The sequence below is a fragment of the Homo sapiens genome, chromosome 6, assembly GCF_000001405.40.
Source record: "Homo sapiens chromosome 6, GRCh38.p14 Primary Assembly".
Lineage (NCBI taxonomy): Eukaryota > Metazoa > Chordata > Mammalia > Primates > Hominidae > Homo > Homo sapiens.
The window spans coordinates 108628124-108643889 of record NC_000006.12 but is presented as its reverse complement, the minus strand read 5'-3'; the positions used below and the strand labels follow the sequence as shown (position 1 = coordinate 108643889).

The window sequence follows — 15766 nt, the reverse complement described above, 5'->3', positions numbered from 1 at the left end:
CTTCTCCACTATTCATTAATGAACCATGAAAATCATTCCATCCTAAAGATGATCTGAGGGGCAAACACAGCTGAACTCTGCACTAAGGTCAGATCTTCACTCCTCTTGAACTTTCTGCAGTTCAGCTCTGGACGATAGCACTGTTAATTAGTGGGCAACACTGCTATAGCTGGGGCAAGGACAAGGTGAAGCAAAACACACCAATCATTCTTGCTATCTGTACTCTCCTCTTACATTCTGGTCAAAAAGGAAAAGTTGACCAAAAGAGAAGAAATTGTTGGGTTGCCACTGAACAGCCCTCTCATTCCATAACCAGGAACACAAACAAACAAAAATCAAAAACAAAATAGAAGAGCAGTTGTTGATTTCTGAGTGTTGCTCATCTTGTTTTCAAAACCTAGCAATCCCATTAACTTCACATTCACTTTGGAACACTTCTTAGGTACTTGAAGGAGTGAGCACTCCTCTCTGACGTGACCTCAAGGTTCAAAACAAGCAACATTAAGTAACCTAAGGTACTTGACTAGTCCCCTCATCCTCATTCCCCAGGTCCTTTCCTGTCCCTTCTGCCTCCAGCCAGTTTTAATTTGCACTAAAGTCTGAAAAGGTCAAACTGGGCATGGGCAAAGAACTGATTGTTTACACAGTAAAATTACAAGAATGAACTAAAAATGAAAATTACAAGAATGAACTAAAAATGAAATCACCCTCTGTAGAACAGCACTATTCAAAAACTGGAGGTACCAAAAGGTGGGGAAATGAAAGTTTAGAAGTCTATTTACATTTTATGATTTAGTCTCTTTGGATTTGGAAGTAAAGAGTAACCCATAGAAATTCTTTAGCTAAGAAGCTTAAATGTACTTATCTGATCATGTGAAATACACATTATGTTCTGGATTCTTGCAAATGTGCTCAATCTGTATGCAAACACCAGAAACAAGCTGCAGCAACAAAAGCTGAAGTTACATTAGTTGACAATGAATTAGCTTTACGGAACCACTAACTGGACTTTATGGAACCACTAACTGGACAGGGATCAGACTATCCTACCTGTGACTCTCCCAGCAACTGTCCAAAACAATGCAAGTTAAGAGTTAAAATGATAGTCTCAGTGATAGTATTAAAGTAATTTAGAGGGCACCTACTGCCATACACACATCATTCTGATTTTTCAAAATCTCCTGTCGTTTGCTAGCCTTGAATTGGATGAGAGCTGCCGAACTTTTTTTATTTTCAGTCTTTACCTTTTCCTTGAGTATCAAAGTATTACATGCTTATTCTAAACATCTGGCAAGTGTGGAGAAGCAGAAAAAACATACGTAATTGACCTTCTAAACTACAACCTTTGTAGATTTTGCTACTTATTTTCTGTAGTTTCTTGTTTATATGGATATTATCCTGCATATTATCCTGATCCACGCCACTCCCCCAATTTAATGTTATGCTATCAGCAGTCCCCCTTGCCAAAAACTCTCTTAAGTATACTTCTTATAATTTCAGGACGGGCATGGTGGCTCAGACCTGTAACACCAGCACTCTGGGAGGTCAAGGATAGAGGATCACTTGAGCCCAGGAGTTTGATATCAGTCTTGGCAATATAGTGAGACCTCATTTCTACAAAAAAATTTTGAAAATTAGCCAAGCATGATAATGCGTGCCTATAGTCCCAGCTATTTGGAGGGCTGAGATGGGAGGATTGCTTGAGCCTGGGAACGGGAGGTTGCAACAAGTTGAGATCGTGCCTCTGTACTCTAGCCTGGTCCACACAGTGAAACCCTGTCTCAAAAAAAAAAAAAAAAACACCAAAAGCAAAAAACTTCAATGACCTGTACTATTCACTGTTTACCTGGGTACTGCTCTCAAAATTTGAATTAATGCTTTGTGCTTCAAGTCTCATGCATTCTTGCATTCTTCTAAATTCTATGCACAACACAGAATATGCAGAATGATCTTCCAGTTAACTCATTTATATGGACAGGTCTTAATACAATGAATAGCATTTGTATTCAAAGTACAGTCTATTTTAGGTAAAATGTTCTCCTTTACAAGCAAAATACAAGAGATTTTAACTGTACAATGTACTTTTTTTCTGTATTTTTTTTGTGGCAATTCTAGCCCTCCACATACACCACAGGCTTGAGGATGTCTCTCATATACTTATATTTTAAGGGGTGTTCAGGTATTCTGCAGTCCTCACATGCCATCCTGCTTGCTATGGGAGCAACCAAACCACCAGGGGAACGCAAAGACATATTAAAAATGGAATAAGGTGAATTATACCTTAAATATGTATCAAGTAGTCATCACGACTCTGTCTGGATAAGTTGCCTTATTATTCCATAAGTTAAATATGCAAAAGAAAAATGGCACAGAGAAGTTGAGACAGAGCTTTACAATGGTAAGAGGCTTTAGAGTTTATCTGACCCAGTGGTTTTCAAACTGTTTATGGAGCCCTAGAGGTTCTTTAGGGCTCTGAGTGGGGAGAAGCTGACCAACTTGTCAACATTCAATGTGCCAAATTTACTAAATTGATTTCTTTCAAAAGCACTAGTAAGAATGTTTGGGTTCTGTACTGATGATGAAATATTTTAAATAAAATCAGTAACTTAAGTTTAAAGGCATAGTAAGAAAATCAAAATTAGCTACAACAATCCCTTCATATTGAAATAATTGAGTTTCCAGCCAGTCAAGGTGGCTAACGCTTATAATCCCAGCACTCTGGGAGGCCAAGGTGGGCAGATCGCTTGAGGTCAGGAGTTTGAGACCAGCCTGGCCAACATGGTGAAACCCTGTCTCTACTAAAAATATAAAAATTAGCCGGGCGTAGTGGGGTGCACCTGTAACCCCAGCTATTCAGGAGGCTGAGGCATGAGAATCAAACCTAGGAGACACAGGATGCAGTGAGCCAAGATTGCGCCATTGCACTCTAGCCTGGGCGACAGAGTGGGACTCTGTCTCAAAAAGACAAAAAAGAAAGAAATACTGAGTTTCCAAATCAGTAACTGGGAGCTCAATTCCTAGAATTGTGCCCAGCACATAGTAGGGCAAAATATATATTTGTTGAATGAACTATGAATGAATAGGATCCATTAACTTTTTAAGAAAACCCAACATAAAAGGGCAAGATCAAAGCAGTACAAAGTCAGGATGCCCAGAAGGCATTACTATAATAAGCTGTATGATTAATCACCCAAATTTTCTATCTATTAATTGTACATATGAAATTGTGAAGTATCAAAAACCTCAAATTGACTAAATGTCCTAAACAAGCTATAAAACAAATGCTAAAATGTTCACACAAATGAAAACGATGCATTAAAAAAACACTTTAAACATCAAGATAATGCACATGTATTTATATGAAATGCTCACATTTTTGTCAATGATGATGTAGATCTTTGTGAATTTATTTAATACAAGTATGTGCTTAGTAAAAGTTTAGTTCATCAACTCTGATCCAAATTGTATACTGCTGTTAAAGCATTCAGTGACCTGACGTTAGTAAACTACATGGGGGATCACATGGCTAATGAGTGGGTGTGGGGATCCCCATTTCAATTCAGCCTGTATGTACTGTTGCCCCAATTACGACAACTGAAAAATTCCCCTGTCCAAGACTGTCCCTAAGGCTTACTGTGCCACAGCCCTCTTATTATCACACAATATCATCCCTACCTTTCTTATCCAATGAAAGGAATTTCTCTGGGAGCACTGCCCCTCCTTCCTCTTCCTCACACCCATCACTTCCTCCAAATTCTGATGTGAAACCTACTACCTGCAGCAAGACTGGCTCCACCCTGTTTGGACCACTGCTGTGGTCCTCTGCATCTGGGAGCAGGTGCTCCATGTTTAAAAACAGAGCTGTCTTTTATGCGATGTTTTACTGTTTTGAACTAGTCTCTGTCTCACAGGTGTATGGTTTTCTGTTAGATTCTGCCCCTCCAAGGAGACTGTAAAATCAAAGACCAAGGAGTGAGTTCTATGTTCTTTCTGAACCTCACAGTAATTGATTCAGTTTGATTCACAGAGTATTGTGTTCAATAAATATTTAGAAAGTAAAATCTACAGTGTTATGCTATAGGACCAGCCGAAACCACAATGTATTGATCATTCAAGTTTTGTCTTCTTAATTGATATGTACTTTTAGGAAGAATTAGTCCACAATTTATTGAAATTAAATAGAAAAGGAAGGTGCGTAAGTAGTTGCAGTATCTGGATTTTATTTATTTATTTTCAGCAGGGGGAGGTTTGGGCTAAGCTCAACCAGGAGCAAACCAAACCTGTTTGAGGCAGGGTCCACCTCCACTTGCTCCTTTCTGAAGGGCCACTGTCATTGCTGTCACCTTGGGTCACTGTACCCAGGCTTGAGCAGGGTTTTTCATCCCAGGGAATGCGTTCTGAGGGCAAAGCACAGAAAGAACATGGTCTTATTGGCTTTCTTTCATTTCTGTCCAATGTATTTGTGACCAACAAACTGAGCTTCTGACTTTATTTACAATGCCACACACTTTAGGTACCTGGAAATAAAAGCTTTCCCCAAAAGTCAAAAAGCTAAATGCTTGGACAGTGTGGCAGCTAGTGGAGTTCTTGTTTCAGTGCCCAAAGAGGTCCAGGAAAGAGATTATGCTTTGCATATGAAAGGAAGCAGGATTTAGCCTCACCCACCCAGTGCTCTTCTCTCACCCAGTGGGAGGCAGGGCCAGAAAGGAGAATGCTCTATTTTCAGGTCAGAGAAGCAAACTGGTGCCAGGCCTCCAGGTGTCTCCAGTGAAAAGGGATAGATCCTGAGGTTATCTTTCCTCTGGGTCCATTAACGTGAAAAGTCTCCTGTTATAGGCCTGTTTGTCCAGAGGGAGCCCAGCCTCCCAAGGACGGCCATCTAGACAGTGCTGACACCGCAGTGGAAAAGGACTCTGGATGGCCTGTGGAAAGGACACCCCGAACACCATTAGGCAGGACACGGTGCCACTTTTCTGACTGTAGATTTTATTAACAGAACTTCAGGAATAACTTGAGGATGAGAGAAATCACCATTCACTTTTTCCAAAGAATCTAGACCTCTAACCTAAAAACAGTAAATCGTCTTAAAACAGCTCTATACCTTGTTGTGTTGGGTCTTATTGCTCCTTGTCCTAACTACACAATACGAACAGAAAACAAACTGCAAGGTAAAAAAGCAAAAATTCCACAATGCGATGCTTGCCCAAGTCGTCTGTTGTCCTCCAGGTGCCTTGAAAACTGCTGGGGCAGTGGGAGAAGGCTGGGAATCACAAACTTCTTTTCCTGGAGTTACTTATTTTTTGACACCACTTGAATAGAATCCTAAAATGTCAAAGCTGTAGGGGACCTTCAGCTTATCCACTAGCTCAAGCCCATCATTTTAGAAATGAAAACACTGGTGTCCAGAGAGCTAAAGTGCCTTGGACATAGAGACACACTGCTAGTTAAAGGCTGGGTCAGGACCCACACTTCCTACCTCTGATCCCAATGTGTTCTCTTTTCTCTGTAAAGTTTTCAAACCTTGTATTTAGTAGCAGAATCCTCTTCCCAAATGAAATCTTGGACAAACCTTGATAGGCATAGCAAATGAAAAGTGGACAAGCTCTGGTTAAAGGGGGACACAAGGTCCAGGGCCCTCAGGCCCCCCTACCAAGAGTCTGTGGGGTTTCTTAGGACTGCATCTGAAAATGACTCCTCCACACCCACTTCTTCTTTATACTCTCCTGTCCCATTCATCTCAAAATGCCATAGGGATGTATGCAGGGGAAACACGCAAGCATGCATATAATGACATTACTGAAAATGAGAAAAACAGGGTAAAAAGTTACTCATATTCTAATTACCCTAACTTAACCATTTTGACATTTTTATATTTTGTTTTCATTTTTTTCTTCTAAGTATATTTATTTCACAAATTTGGAAACACAATTTTCTTTCCTGTTCTACTGATTTAACATTGAATATATGTATTTTTAACACATTAAACTGTCATTAATACTCCTGAGGATTTCAAGATGTTCTTTTTGATAAATGGCTACCTTCTAAAATATGTCACAAAATTTGAACATTTTATCAACTGAAGGGAAAAAAATTTTAAATGAGGACAATATTAACTACAGGGGAAGAAAACCAAAAAGCTACTAGAGAAGAGACCAAAAGGGGGAAGAGGCAAAGCCAGGCCATGAGGAGAGGATGCACTGCTGACTCTGAGGCAGGGAGAAAACATCCGGGGGAAAGACAGACACTAAGGAAATTCTTGGTGGAAATAAAGTCTTCCAGAATCACGACTCTAGAAAATGAACTCATTATTCTATCATTATCAGGAGTCTGATATGTATAATAAACCTGCATAGGCTTAACTCATCTAATACTGCTTTTATATACACACCCATAAAACACTCAGAGGCTAACCATACCTTTCTATTATTGAACGAGATTTGCCCCCCAGTATTCTGGGGGAGAACCACGGGCTGGATTTCGACACTTAGCTGTAATAAGGTTAAGCAGGACTCTGGGACAAAGCCCTCTGTCTGGTTTCTAGGCTGGTTTCTGGCTTTGTGTTCTGTATTGTGTCACCGAACCCAGCAGCACCTCGAGAAACTACTGATTCACATGTTCACAAGGAGCTCATCAAACTTAAATGTAACGCAATTTTTTCAAGTGGTGCTAAACTAGACAATTAAGGAAGACAAAAACAGGTAACAGAAAAATAGCCTCTCCACTTTCTATGTGTTCTCTCAATACCTCAATTTATTTTATTTCTTTCACAGCTGCGGAAAACCTCATTAAGGGAAGATATAAAGTTGTAAACTAAAATGAAGGACAGAGGCAATGTTGCTGCTCAATGCCCAGAAACTCTCTCCCTCTGCAGAAGTCTGCATCTCTCCCAGTCCATTCCTACATGTCAGAAAGATCTGCAGGTCCATTTACACAGCCTCCTTATTCGGAACAGGGGGATTTAAATAGAGGTGCTTCAGTGGGACCACCTGGGAGGATGTTGCAGAGCTGCCCAGGTGCCAGGGTCCTGTAACCTCTCAAATTCTTCCAGGGATGCAAATCAGGCTGGATGGACACAGAACATGAAGTCCTTCTCCAGAACACAGCACTTGTGAGTGGCTGCTAGGCTGGGTGGTCTTTGCTTCCTGTGGTTTCTCACCTGGCATATGTCAAAGGAAGGTCCCTTATTCTCTGATCCTCATCCTCACAAACTTCCAGAGCACACCCTGGAGACCTCCATCCCTATTTAAAGGAGGAGGCCACTTCCCAGGATGCACAGTGGTGAAGTGGTGAAGGGCTGGTCTGGTCTAGTCACCGCCTTCCTGAGAATCTAGGATACTAGCATGTGAGTGCTGAAAAAACACTCTAAGATGCTTGGTCTCTTGCCTCATGCACCCCCCACCCCAGCCCAGTTCCACTGGGCTCAACACACAGGGTTTGTTCTATTCCCGAAGGTTTAACCTGTAAGGATGCTGGGTTTACCCTTCCCCTCAGCTAAATGAGCTCTCTAGAGCATACGAAACAGTGATCTCCTGTTTAGAGATCTAGTGAATAAATGCCAAAGAAGTGGACATCTGACATCTGTATTCTCTGTGAGATCAAACTAACACTTGATGTGTGCATACTGCACAAGCTCACCACCCCCAACATCTATGAACAACATCGATACACTAGGTAACACACAGACTGGGACCTGGGCACAAGGATCACTTCAATCTCCAGGTCTTCCTCCCCAGAAGCAGGCAGAGGCACAGAGGTGCTAGTCACATTTCAGAAGCAGCCCATGAACCCAGCCCTCAGAACAATCTGTCTTCTCACTCCCCAGATGGAGGGCTTGCTTCCCTAGCTGAGGAGTGACAAGCTTAATCCCGCTTTGTGCGGGAAGACTGACAAGATTACCACACAACCAATCCAGAGTAGAAACAGCTTTCTTTTTTTCTGAGAAGTCTTATCAAGGAAACTAGTTCTTATACACAAAAGCTGTGCTTTCTAAAAATCTTCCTCCAGTCATCGTAACCAACTCATCATTCATAACCCAGCCCAATCCCTCTGACAGAGGCAGTAGGTCAGCATGGTCCAGAAAACATGAATTCTGCTGTATCTAACTGCCTGTAATTCACACAGCCTTACTTACCACCATCCACCTCTACTAACCACGAGGGCTTCCCCCATTATGCAACTGTACAAGTGGCCAATCGTTTCGCCACCCCTGCTGCAAGGTGCAATGCTATGACAGGATGTGCCTCTCTAGCAGAAAGGCAAGGCACCTCCCAGCACCTCCTGCAGCTCAGCTCCTGACATGTCTAAAGACACTTCTTGTTATAGAATCATGACATTTTATTCTTTTTGTGACACATTTAAAACAAACAAAATTACACAGAATATAACAAACACCTGTGTACCCACTGCTCGACTTTAGCAAATCTTAGTATTGTGCCGTATTTGCTTCAAAAAATTTTAACGAAGCAAAATATTCCAGATACAGGTGAAATACCCTTCGTATTCCCTCTCCTCATTCCATCTCTTTTCTACCTTTCTCAGAAGCAACCACGACCACTATCCCAAAGCTAGTATTTATTATTATTATTATTTTTTTTTGAGATGGAGTCTTGCTCTGTTGCCCAGGCCACAGTACAGTGGTGTGATCTCCGCTCACTGCAACCTCCCGGGTTCAAGAAATTCTCATGCCTCAGCCTTCCAAGTAACTGGGATTACAGGCGCCTGCCACCACACCCAGCTAATTTTTGTATTTTTAGTAGAGATGAGGTTTTGCCATGTTGGCCAGACTGGTCTTGAACTTCTGGCCTCAAGTGTTATCTGCCTGCCTCAGCCTCCCAAAGTGCTGGGATTACAGGTGTGAGCCACCATGCCCGCCATATTTATTATTTTATAAAATTTTAAATTCTTATATGAATATATATATACATGCACACAATGTATATATCAATACCTTATATATAAAATACAAAAACATTATATATAAAATACATAATACTGCTCGCATATTTTTAAACTTTATATAAAAGGTATACCATCCATATTGTTATATACTTGCATTTTTTGCTTAACTTTAAAAAATATTTATTCTTAAGTTTCAAATATATGCAGAAGTAGAAAGACTGTTATAATAAACCCACCCCCATGTACTCATCATCCAGCCTCATGATCCATCTTATCTGTATTAAGATTCACATCTATCCCCTACCCACTCATTCCCCTCCTGACCCTCTAATCACTCTGAAACAAATCCCATACGTGCAAAAAGTTTAAAGGTCTCATGCCTGTTGGAGTTGGCTTTCTAAAGAGAAGCCAAGGCAGAAGGGGGAAGGAAGGACCCAAGTACACAACCTCAAGCACCCTAGATATTATGGCTCAAATCATTAGCAGATGGATCAAACAGGCAAAGAGGAATGCCAGCTGTAGTCAGGCCCAGTAGTCTGAGTGTGAGTTTCTCCTTTCCCAGTGAATTTGGAGCAGGGAAGGGGGTCATCATCCCTGACCCTTTCCATTGCCCACTACCTTCAATCCCAGGTCAGATTCTTATCTCTGAAACCTTGCGCCACCCAAGATAATATCCTCATCACATAGAAACCCCATCTTCACCCTCCTTTATATACTCAATACCTGAACTGCATCTCTTGATAAATTCACACGCACACACGTCAGCAGTTGCTGATGTTTACCAAGTGCTTTGTTTATGCCAGGCATTTTTCTTTCATGCCTCCTGTTGCAAATTAACTCATTTTACAGATGAGGAAACTGTGGCACAGTGGAGTTAAATAATTCCTCCAAGGCCAATAGCCAATAAATGAAACCACATATTGGACCCAGATGAACTGGCTCCAAGGCCCATATAATAACTCACAAGGCCTCCTTAACAAAAGGACCAGTTCCATGTAAAGAAGCCACACATTCATTTGAGGTTTGGCGGCAATCAAAACTCTGCTAGCAAGTATGTGATATAAATCTGGGTAACTGAGCCAGACTGAAGGTTGCCTGTGGATTGCTCTGGGCAATTGGTTCTCAGCTTTTTAACTTTTTTTTTTTTTTAATTGACTTCTGTGCAAGAAAAGTAAAAAATAGTACAAAGGTAGACAAAAGCCATTCATTAGTCCAGTTTCTCCCCTCAACTTTACCCTCAACAGCCACTTATAACAGGGAACCAAAAAAGAGTAGATCATGCTCTTAATGCCTGAAAACACGTGACCTTCCTTCATCTTGAGAATGTGCTAGCACCATGTCAAAGAGCTTCATTGTACTGCATGCACAAAAGGGGGCAGAATTATAATGACCTAAGTATTTGACCTTCATGTAGTAAATGCATCAAAGCTTGGCTCCCTAACAATTTTTTGTCATTTATAATAGAAACTGTTTTTCATGCAGGAAATGCCACTTTTCTTTCAAGGACAAAACCCAGAATTTTACTCAGTAGTTTTTTTAAGTTGCATATATCTTAAGTGCTACATTCTTGATAATAAACATAAAATCTTTTTTTTTAAATCAGCAGATAAGACAAATCCTTCTCTTCTATTTGCCAATGCCACAAACACACACACATACACACACACACTTTCATACCCACATTCCCTCTCTCTCTAGTGCACGAGTGAAAGTTCTTATCCAAAGCAGGCTAAGGATTTTTCACTGTGATCACATTGTTTACTTCTAATTTATAAATGAGAATAAACACTACTGCCTCTACATCTCATTTTATTTATCCAATCAGTATTTATGGAGCACTGAGTATCAAGCACTATGCTCAATGCTAAAATATACCAGTCAACAAGATGCTCCTTAGAGTTTTTGTATTTTGAATATTGAGAAGAATTTCCTCTTTTGCTTAAATTCCTGGCTTTTGAACCCTCAATTAAGAAGATATCTTCCAGCTGAACTTTTACTTGCTTATGGAAAAAAAAAATTTACAAGTGGTGGCAACTGGGCAGACAAGACACAAGTAAAAACTGTAATATACTAACATATGATTTTGCAAGTTTTTAAAAAGTTTTATAAAACACACATAAACCATTTAAAGTTCCAGCTTCATTCTTGGTAAAGTAGAAATCTCTCCATATACCCCTCCAAAAGAAGGGGAAAAAAATACTTAGGTGACCACCAGGAAGTTGACGTTTTCTACACTGTACTTGGCTTCTCTACATCTATAAGGGTCAAGCAGGATGACCTGAAAAAACACTGCCAGTTGACACCAGCAGATCACTAGCTCAAACGTAGTGCCAGCTTTCTCTATTACCATGTGCTTCACTTGCCTTTGGTATGTCTCACTGTCTAAATATGGGAAGGAGGAGGGATTTCCGCAGGTCCCATCCTGACCCAGGTGCACGAAAAGGCATCTGCAGCCATATCATGGTGCCTCAAATAATGCAACGCACAGTGGGTTAGGGGAGAAAGAGAAATTACTCAAGAATTATGTGAGATAAAACTAGTTTTAGAAAAGAGCATAGTTGCTATTATATGGTAAAGTATTACATTTCTGTATTAATTTTTTCAGACTGCTAAAATGCCACAGGCTTCGTGGGCAGTCTCTCAGATACAGAGAAACTGGCTGTTGACCTCTCCTGTTCCCCAGCTACCCCTTACTTATCCTCTGTCATGCTGTTGTTCATGGTCTGCTTCCAAAAACAAATTTAAGGCAGCTGGGATTACACTTTGCTAATCTCTGTAGACCCCATAGCGCCTAGCACCGCATCTAAAACAAACTCAGTGCTCACTAATATTTTTTATTTTTACTTAAATTAAGGAGGTTTTCCCTGGTGTGATACAATGTGAAGCACACAGCACTACCCAACTAAGAAGGCTGAACCTGAGTTTAATCAAGCCTCTAGAGTTAATTTCCAGTTTCAGGAAATTCAGGCGATAGAGGAACCAGATAATGACAACACAAGAAAACAGATATATCCAGAATGTGGGACATTCTGCAGGACAACTGACCCAGTTTCTGCAACAAGTCATTGGCATGGAAAAAGGGGGGAGGGGTGGAGCAGGGAATGGCCCTTGATTAAGAGACATAATATCCAAATGTCACATGTGAATCCTGATTCTAACAAAACCATAAAGAACAGTTATTTTGTACAAGGGAGAAATTTTTAAAATTATACAATGGGCATTAGGTTATACAACAAAATACAGTACCTACAGTTAGGTGTGATAATGACCCTGGTCAGGTAAGCATATGCCCATGTTATTCTGTGCACACTGAAGTATACAGAAGTGAAATATCTGAAGCCTGGGATTTGCTTTAAAGTCCTCACGAGAGGAAAGGGGGGAAAAATGTCAAGAGAGAAAAAAAAACCAATGTGTTTTCAAAGATTATAGGATAATTGAGAAAGCAGAAAAAACCTGGACCAACACTAGCTTGTCTTCACGCAAATCCTCACCTCTTTTCCTCCCTCCACCTCCTAGAAAATAAAGCCATATGCAGAATTGCATATGGATTGCGGGGTAGGCAACTGTAGACCAGAGGTGGAAATGACCAAGTGTATAAGTCAGGGCCCTAAACAGCAATACTCCATTTATCTGGAGATGGCATGGTAACCTAAATCATCCAGAACACAGACCAGTACCTTCCACACTATGCTGGTCCAGATCATCACCATTCAGACTTTACAGACTAAATTCCAACATGCAGAGACAGTGTCTGTCTTGCTTGCCACTATTTCCCCAGGTGCCCATCTACATAAAACACACTCAAATGAATATGAGTAAATGTACTCACAATCCTAACCACCTCAGTCTTCTGAAAACCAGTTGATTTGGAAAACACTGATGGTTCATGATGATAAAGTAAGTTCCAGACTTAGTTTAAGAAAGCAGTATAATTTAATACATTTTAGAAAAACTACTATAAAATGTCTACAATAAATAGGCTTAGACATTTATACATGTTAAACAAAAAGAAAAAACTCCCTATGGAATGAAAGGCAATAAAGGAACCCAAAGCCCAAGATTATTTTTTGCATTCTAATCAATTAATTAATAGCCTTTCGGTAATGACTGGTTGAGAAGGAGTACAACAACCCTTGGTGGCAAAGAGAGAAAATAGGAAGAAAGGGCAGCAGAGTTTGAGAAGGTCTAATATAGTTTTTCCTTCTTCCCTTAAAAAGCTTTTTTTTAAAAATACTTAAAGCAAAACATGTTGCAAAGAGTTAGTTATAGAGAGAAGTGGTAAGACTTATGCACGAGTTGAGACAACTTAGAGAAAGGAGGTAGACTGGTAGAACTAAATGACTCAACAAGGACAGGCCTCCTCACAAGATCACAAGAAAGTTAACATAAAAGGATAGGCAAAGCTTCCTTCTACTACTTCCTCCCACTCCAAAGCACAAAAGTTCAGGTGATATCACTACATACAAATGTTCAACAGCTCCCTTGAGCAGCCAGGTCCGCAATACTACCCTAGCCACCTCAAATGTTCAAATTCCCTTGAAAGTCTCACAGCCACAAAGACATACCTCAGGCACTGCCTCCTCACTCACCAGTCTAACGCAGTCTCTCTTTACCACTTATCCCCCTCTACTCCTACCTAACACCCTCTCTGTCCTCTCAAGATTGCTCCTTATTCCCCATTTTCAACATTCTGCCTTCTTCCCTTCTCTCTCTTCCGGCCTGCTCTTCCCTGTTTCTGCCTTCCTTGTACCCTCCTCTTCATACCTTTCTCACTCTTTGTTCCACAGTTGTCCCCAGTATTACTTGTGTCATCTAAAACCTTCCTTATCCACCAGATCTTCCCCTTTCCATGCTATACCTAGAAGCCTGTTTCTCTGAAGCCACTTGTGGTCTAGACAAAACCAGAGGAAACTATCTTCTCTCAGGAAGGAGCAACATAGAGTTTAGACCAATATAGTAGAAAAGAACTGGTCATGTTTAAAAACATTTTAAGACCTTCGAGGATGACCTGGAAGTAGTAAGAAGGTCCCCAAAGCTTCAAGTAGGCTTTTTCTATTTCAGGGCCAAAAGTACAGAATTTATATAACCAAGCAAATGTATCTGAATCAATTTCAGAGTCAGTATTTCTAATATTTTGATCACAGGTTCACCATCAAGGCCACAGGAATTTATGGAGGAAAAATATTTCACTGGCTTATTATCTAAATTCCTATCAGAGATGCTTAAAGACAAGTAATACTTTATTCATAAAAAGCCAGAGAACAACACATACAAAGTAGATACCTTTCTTACTTAATATCTCCTGTCAGAAAAAAAAAGGTGTTAAAAAAAAGATTATAAAATAATTCTGCCGGAGAGGTTTTACTATAAAGCAAAAATATCAGCTAACTAAAGTTTTTACCTGCTCCTAATCCTTTCTGAAAAGAGAATATTTGCTTACAATATTATCATCCTTTGACTTCACAACTCCAAAAAAGTTCAACATAGTGTCTAAGACAAAAAGAAAAAAATAGCAAACAAAAAACCTCCCGCTAAACTGACACCCCTAACTACCAGACCTCTCCCTACTGGTAGTCTTTCCTTACCTTACTTGAATCCACTGTGCTCAGATCTTAAGAGCCCCAGAGGAAGAAGGCACCCGAAAATTACACAACCCTTATTCTCAATCTTACCTGCCTTTCCTACAGAACTGAACTGGGAGATGGTCTCAGATGGGTCCTCTATAATGTAGAGGGCAATTTCCATCTCTCTTAAGAATGCTGTCTGCTTCCTCCTTGGTCCACCACCCTCTGACTGTTGCTGGTGATCACCACACCGCCACCACCACTAATAGTAACAGATCATTTTAAATTTACTTTTTGCTAGGAACTATGCTAAGCACTTAATATACATAGCTTCAACTTAATCCTCGACTAGGATTTACCTGTGAAAAATGGAGGCAGAGAGAGGTTACAGAACTTGCTCGATTTCAGCCAGTAAGCTCCTAAGGAGGTTTCCCTAGAGCCCAGGTCTGTCAGATTCTAAAGCCCAAACTCTGTTGCTACATGACACTTCGCAAAAAAAGACTGTCCATGCCTTCATCTTAACTCCAGAAGTTCAGAGGTCCCTAGAGGTCAGGAGACCACCAAGAACTTATTGTGTAAAGTGTTTTCACCCACCCAAGATTCTTCCCATTTTTTGTCTTGGGCTGTCAGTGCCTAATGGGAAAGGATGTCCTCTCCACACTATCCCAGGGTAGAGTACTGTCTAGCTATAACCCGGCTGCAGAGTGGGTTTAAATTCTTTCAACACTGCTGAACTTGCTTAGAACTTTGATGGCACCTCCTACCCACTCCCTGTCTCCACTCCATGTCCTGGATTCAGCAACTGGACCTGGAAAAGAGGCATCCACCAAACAAAAAACTCAATGGTGAGACACCACTCTTCCTCCCCCAAATACCCGAGTGACACTTCTTTCAAACAACCACCAAAATGTCCTTTCCCTACTAGTTCTTTTTCTTGTGTGGAGAAAAAGATTTTTTAAATGGGTTACTGTGGATTAGCCATTAGAAAGCCCCTGCTGAGCTCATGCTTTATCTCAGTTAATACTTAAATATGCGCAGCCAGAGACACACTCATACAGGGCTTTTGGGGGAGGAGAGAAGAGTACATGGAGGTAATTTTGTCATTTTTCTTGGCAAAGGAGCAGCCTGTTAACAAACACATTTTGTTTTCAAAACTGGATTCTGAAACCAAAAGCAAAAATCGATGGCTAAAATACATTATTTCTTCCCCTATCTCTGTGGAGGGAGAACCAAATAAACTCACACCAATGGGTAAGTATTAAATGATAAGAATGATAACAACTACTGGTTATTGAGCACTTGGT

General features: G+C 40.5%; 1 protein-coding gene across 13 annotated transcripts in view, besides 1 other annotated feature; it reads right to left on the bottom strand.

The window, feature by feature from the left end:
- FOXO3 (forkhead box O3) overlaps positions 1-15766 on the bottom strand; it is a 124950-nt gene that overhangs the window by 40885 nt on the left and 68299 nt on the right. For 4 of the 13 annotated variants that reach the window (NM_001415140.1, NM_001415142.1, XM_017010585.2 and 1 more), the window contains one exon: positions 4281-4397. The exons of the other annotated variants lie outside the window; for them this stretch is intronic. In NM_001415140.1, coding sequence (NP_001402069.1) covers positions 4281-4334 — 54 coding nt within the window. In that variant the 5' untranslated portion in view covers positions 4335-4397. The remainder of the gene's footprint in view (positions 1-4280; positions 4398-15766) is intronic. 13 annotated transcript variants of the gene reach the window in all.
- Positions 4392-4893: an enhancer, noted in NCBI's record as "OCT4 hESC enhancer chr6:108960200-108960701 (GRCh37/hg19 assembly coordinates)". NCBI's record gives its function as "activates a minimal SCP1, AML or CMV promoter by ChIP-STARR-seq in primed H9 embryonic stem cells {active_cell/tissue: H9 hESC(primed)}" and the evidence as "EXISTENCE:reporter gene assay evidence [ECO:0000049][PMID:30033119]".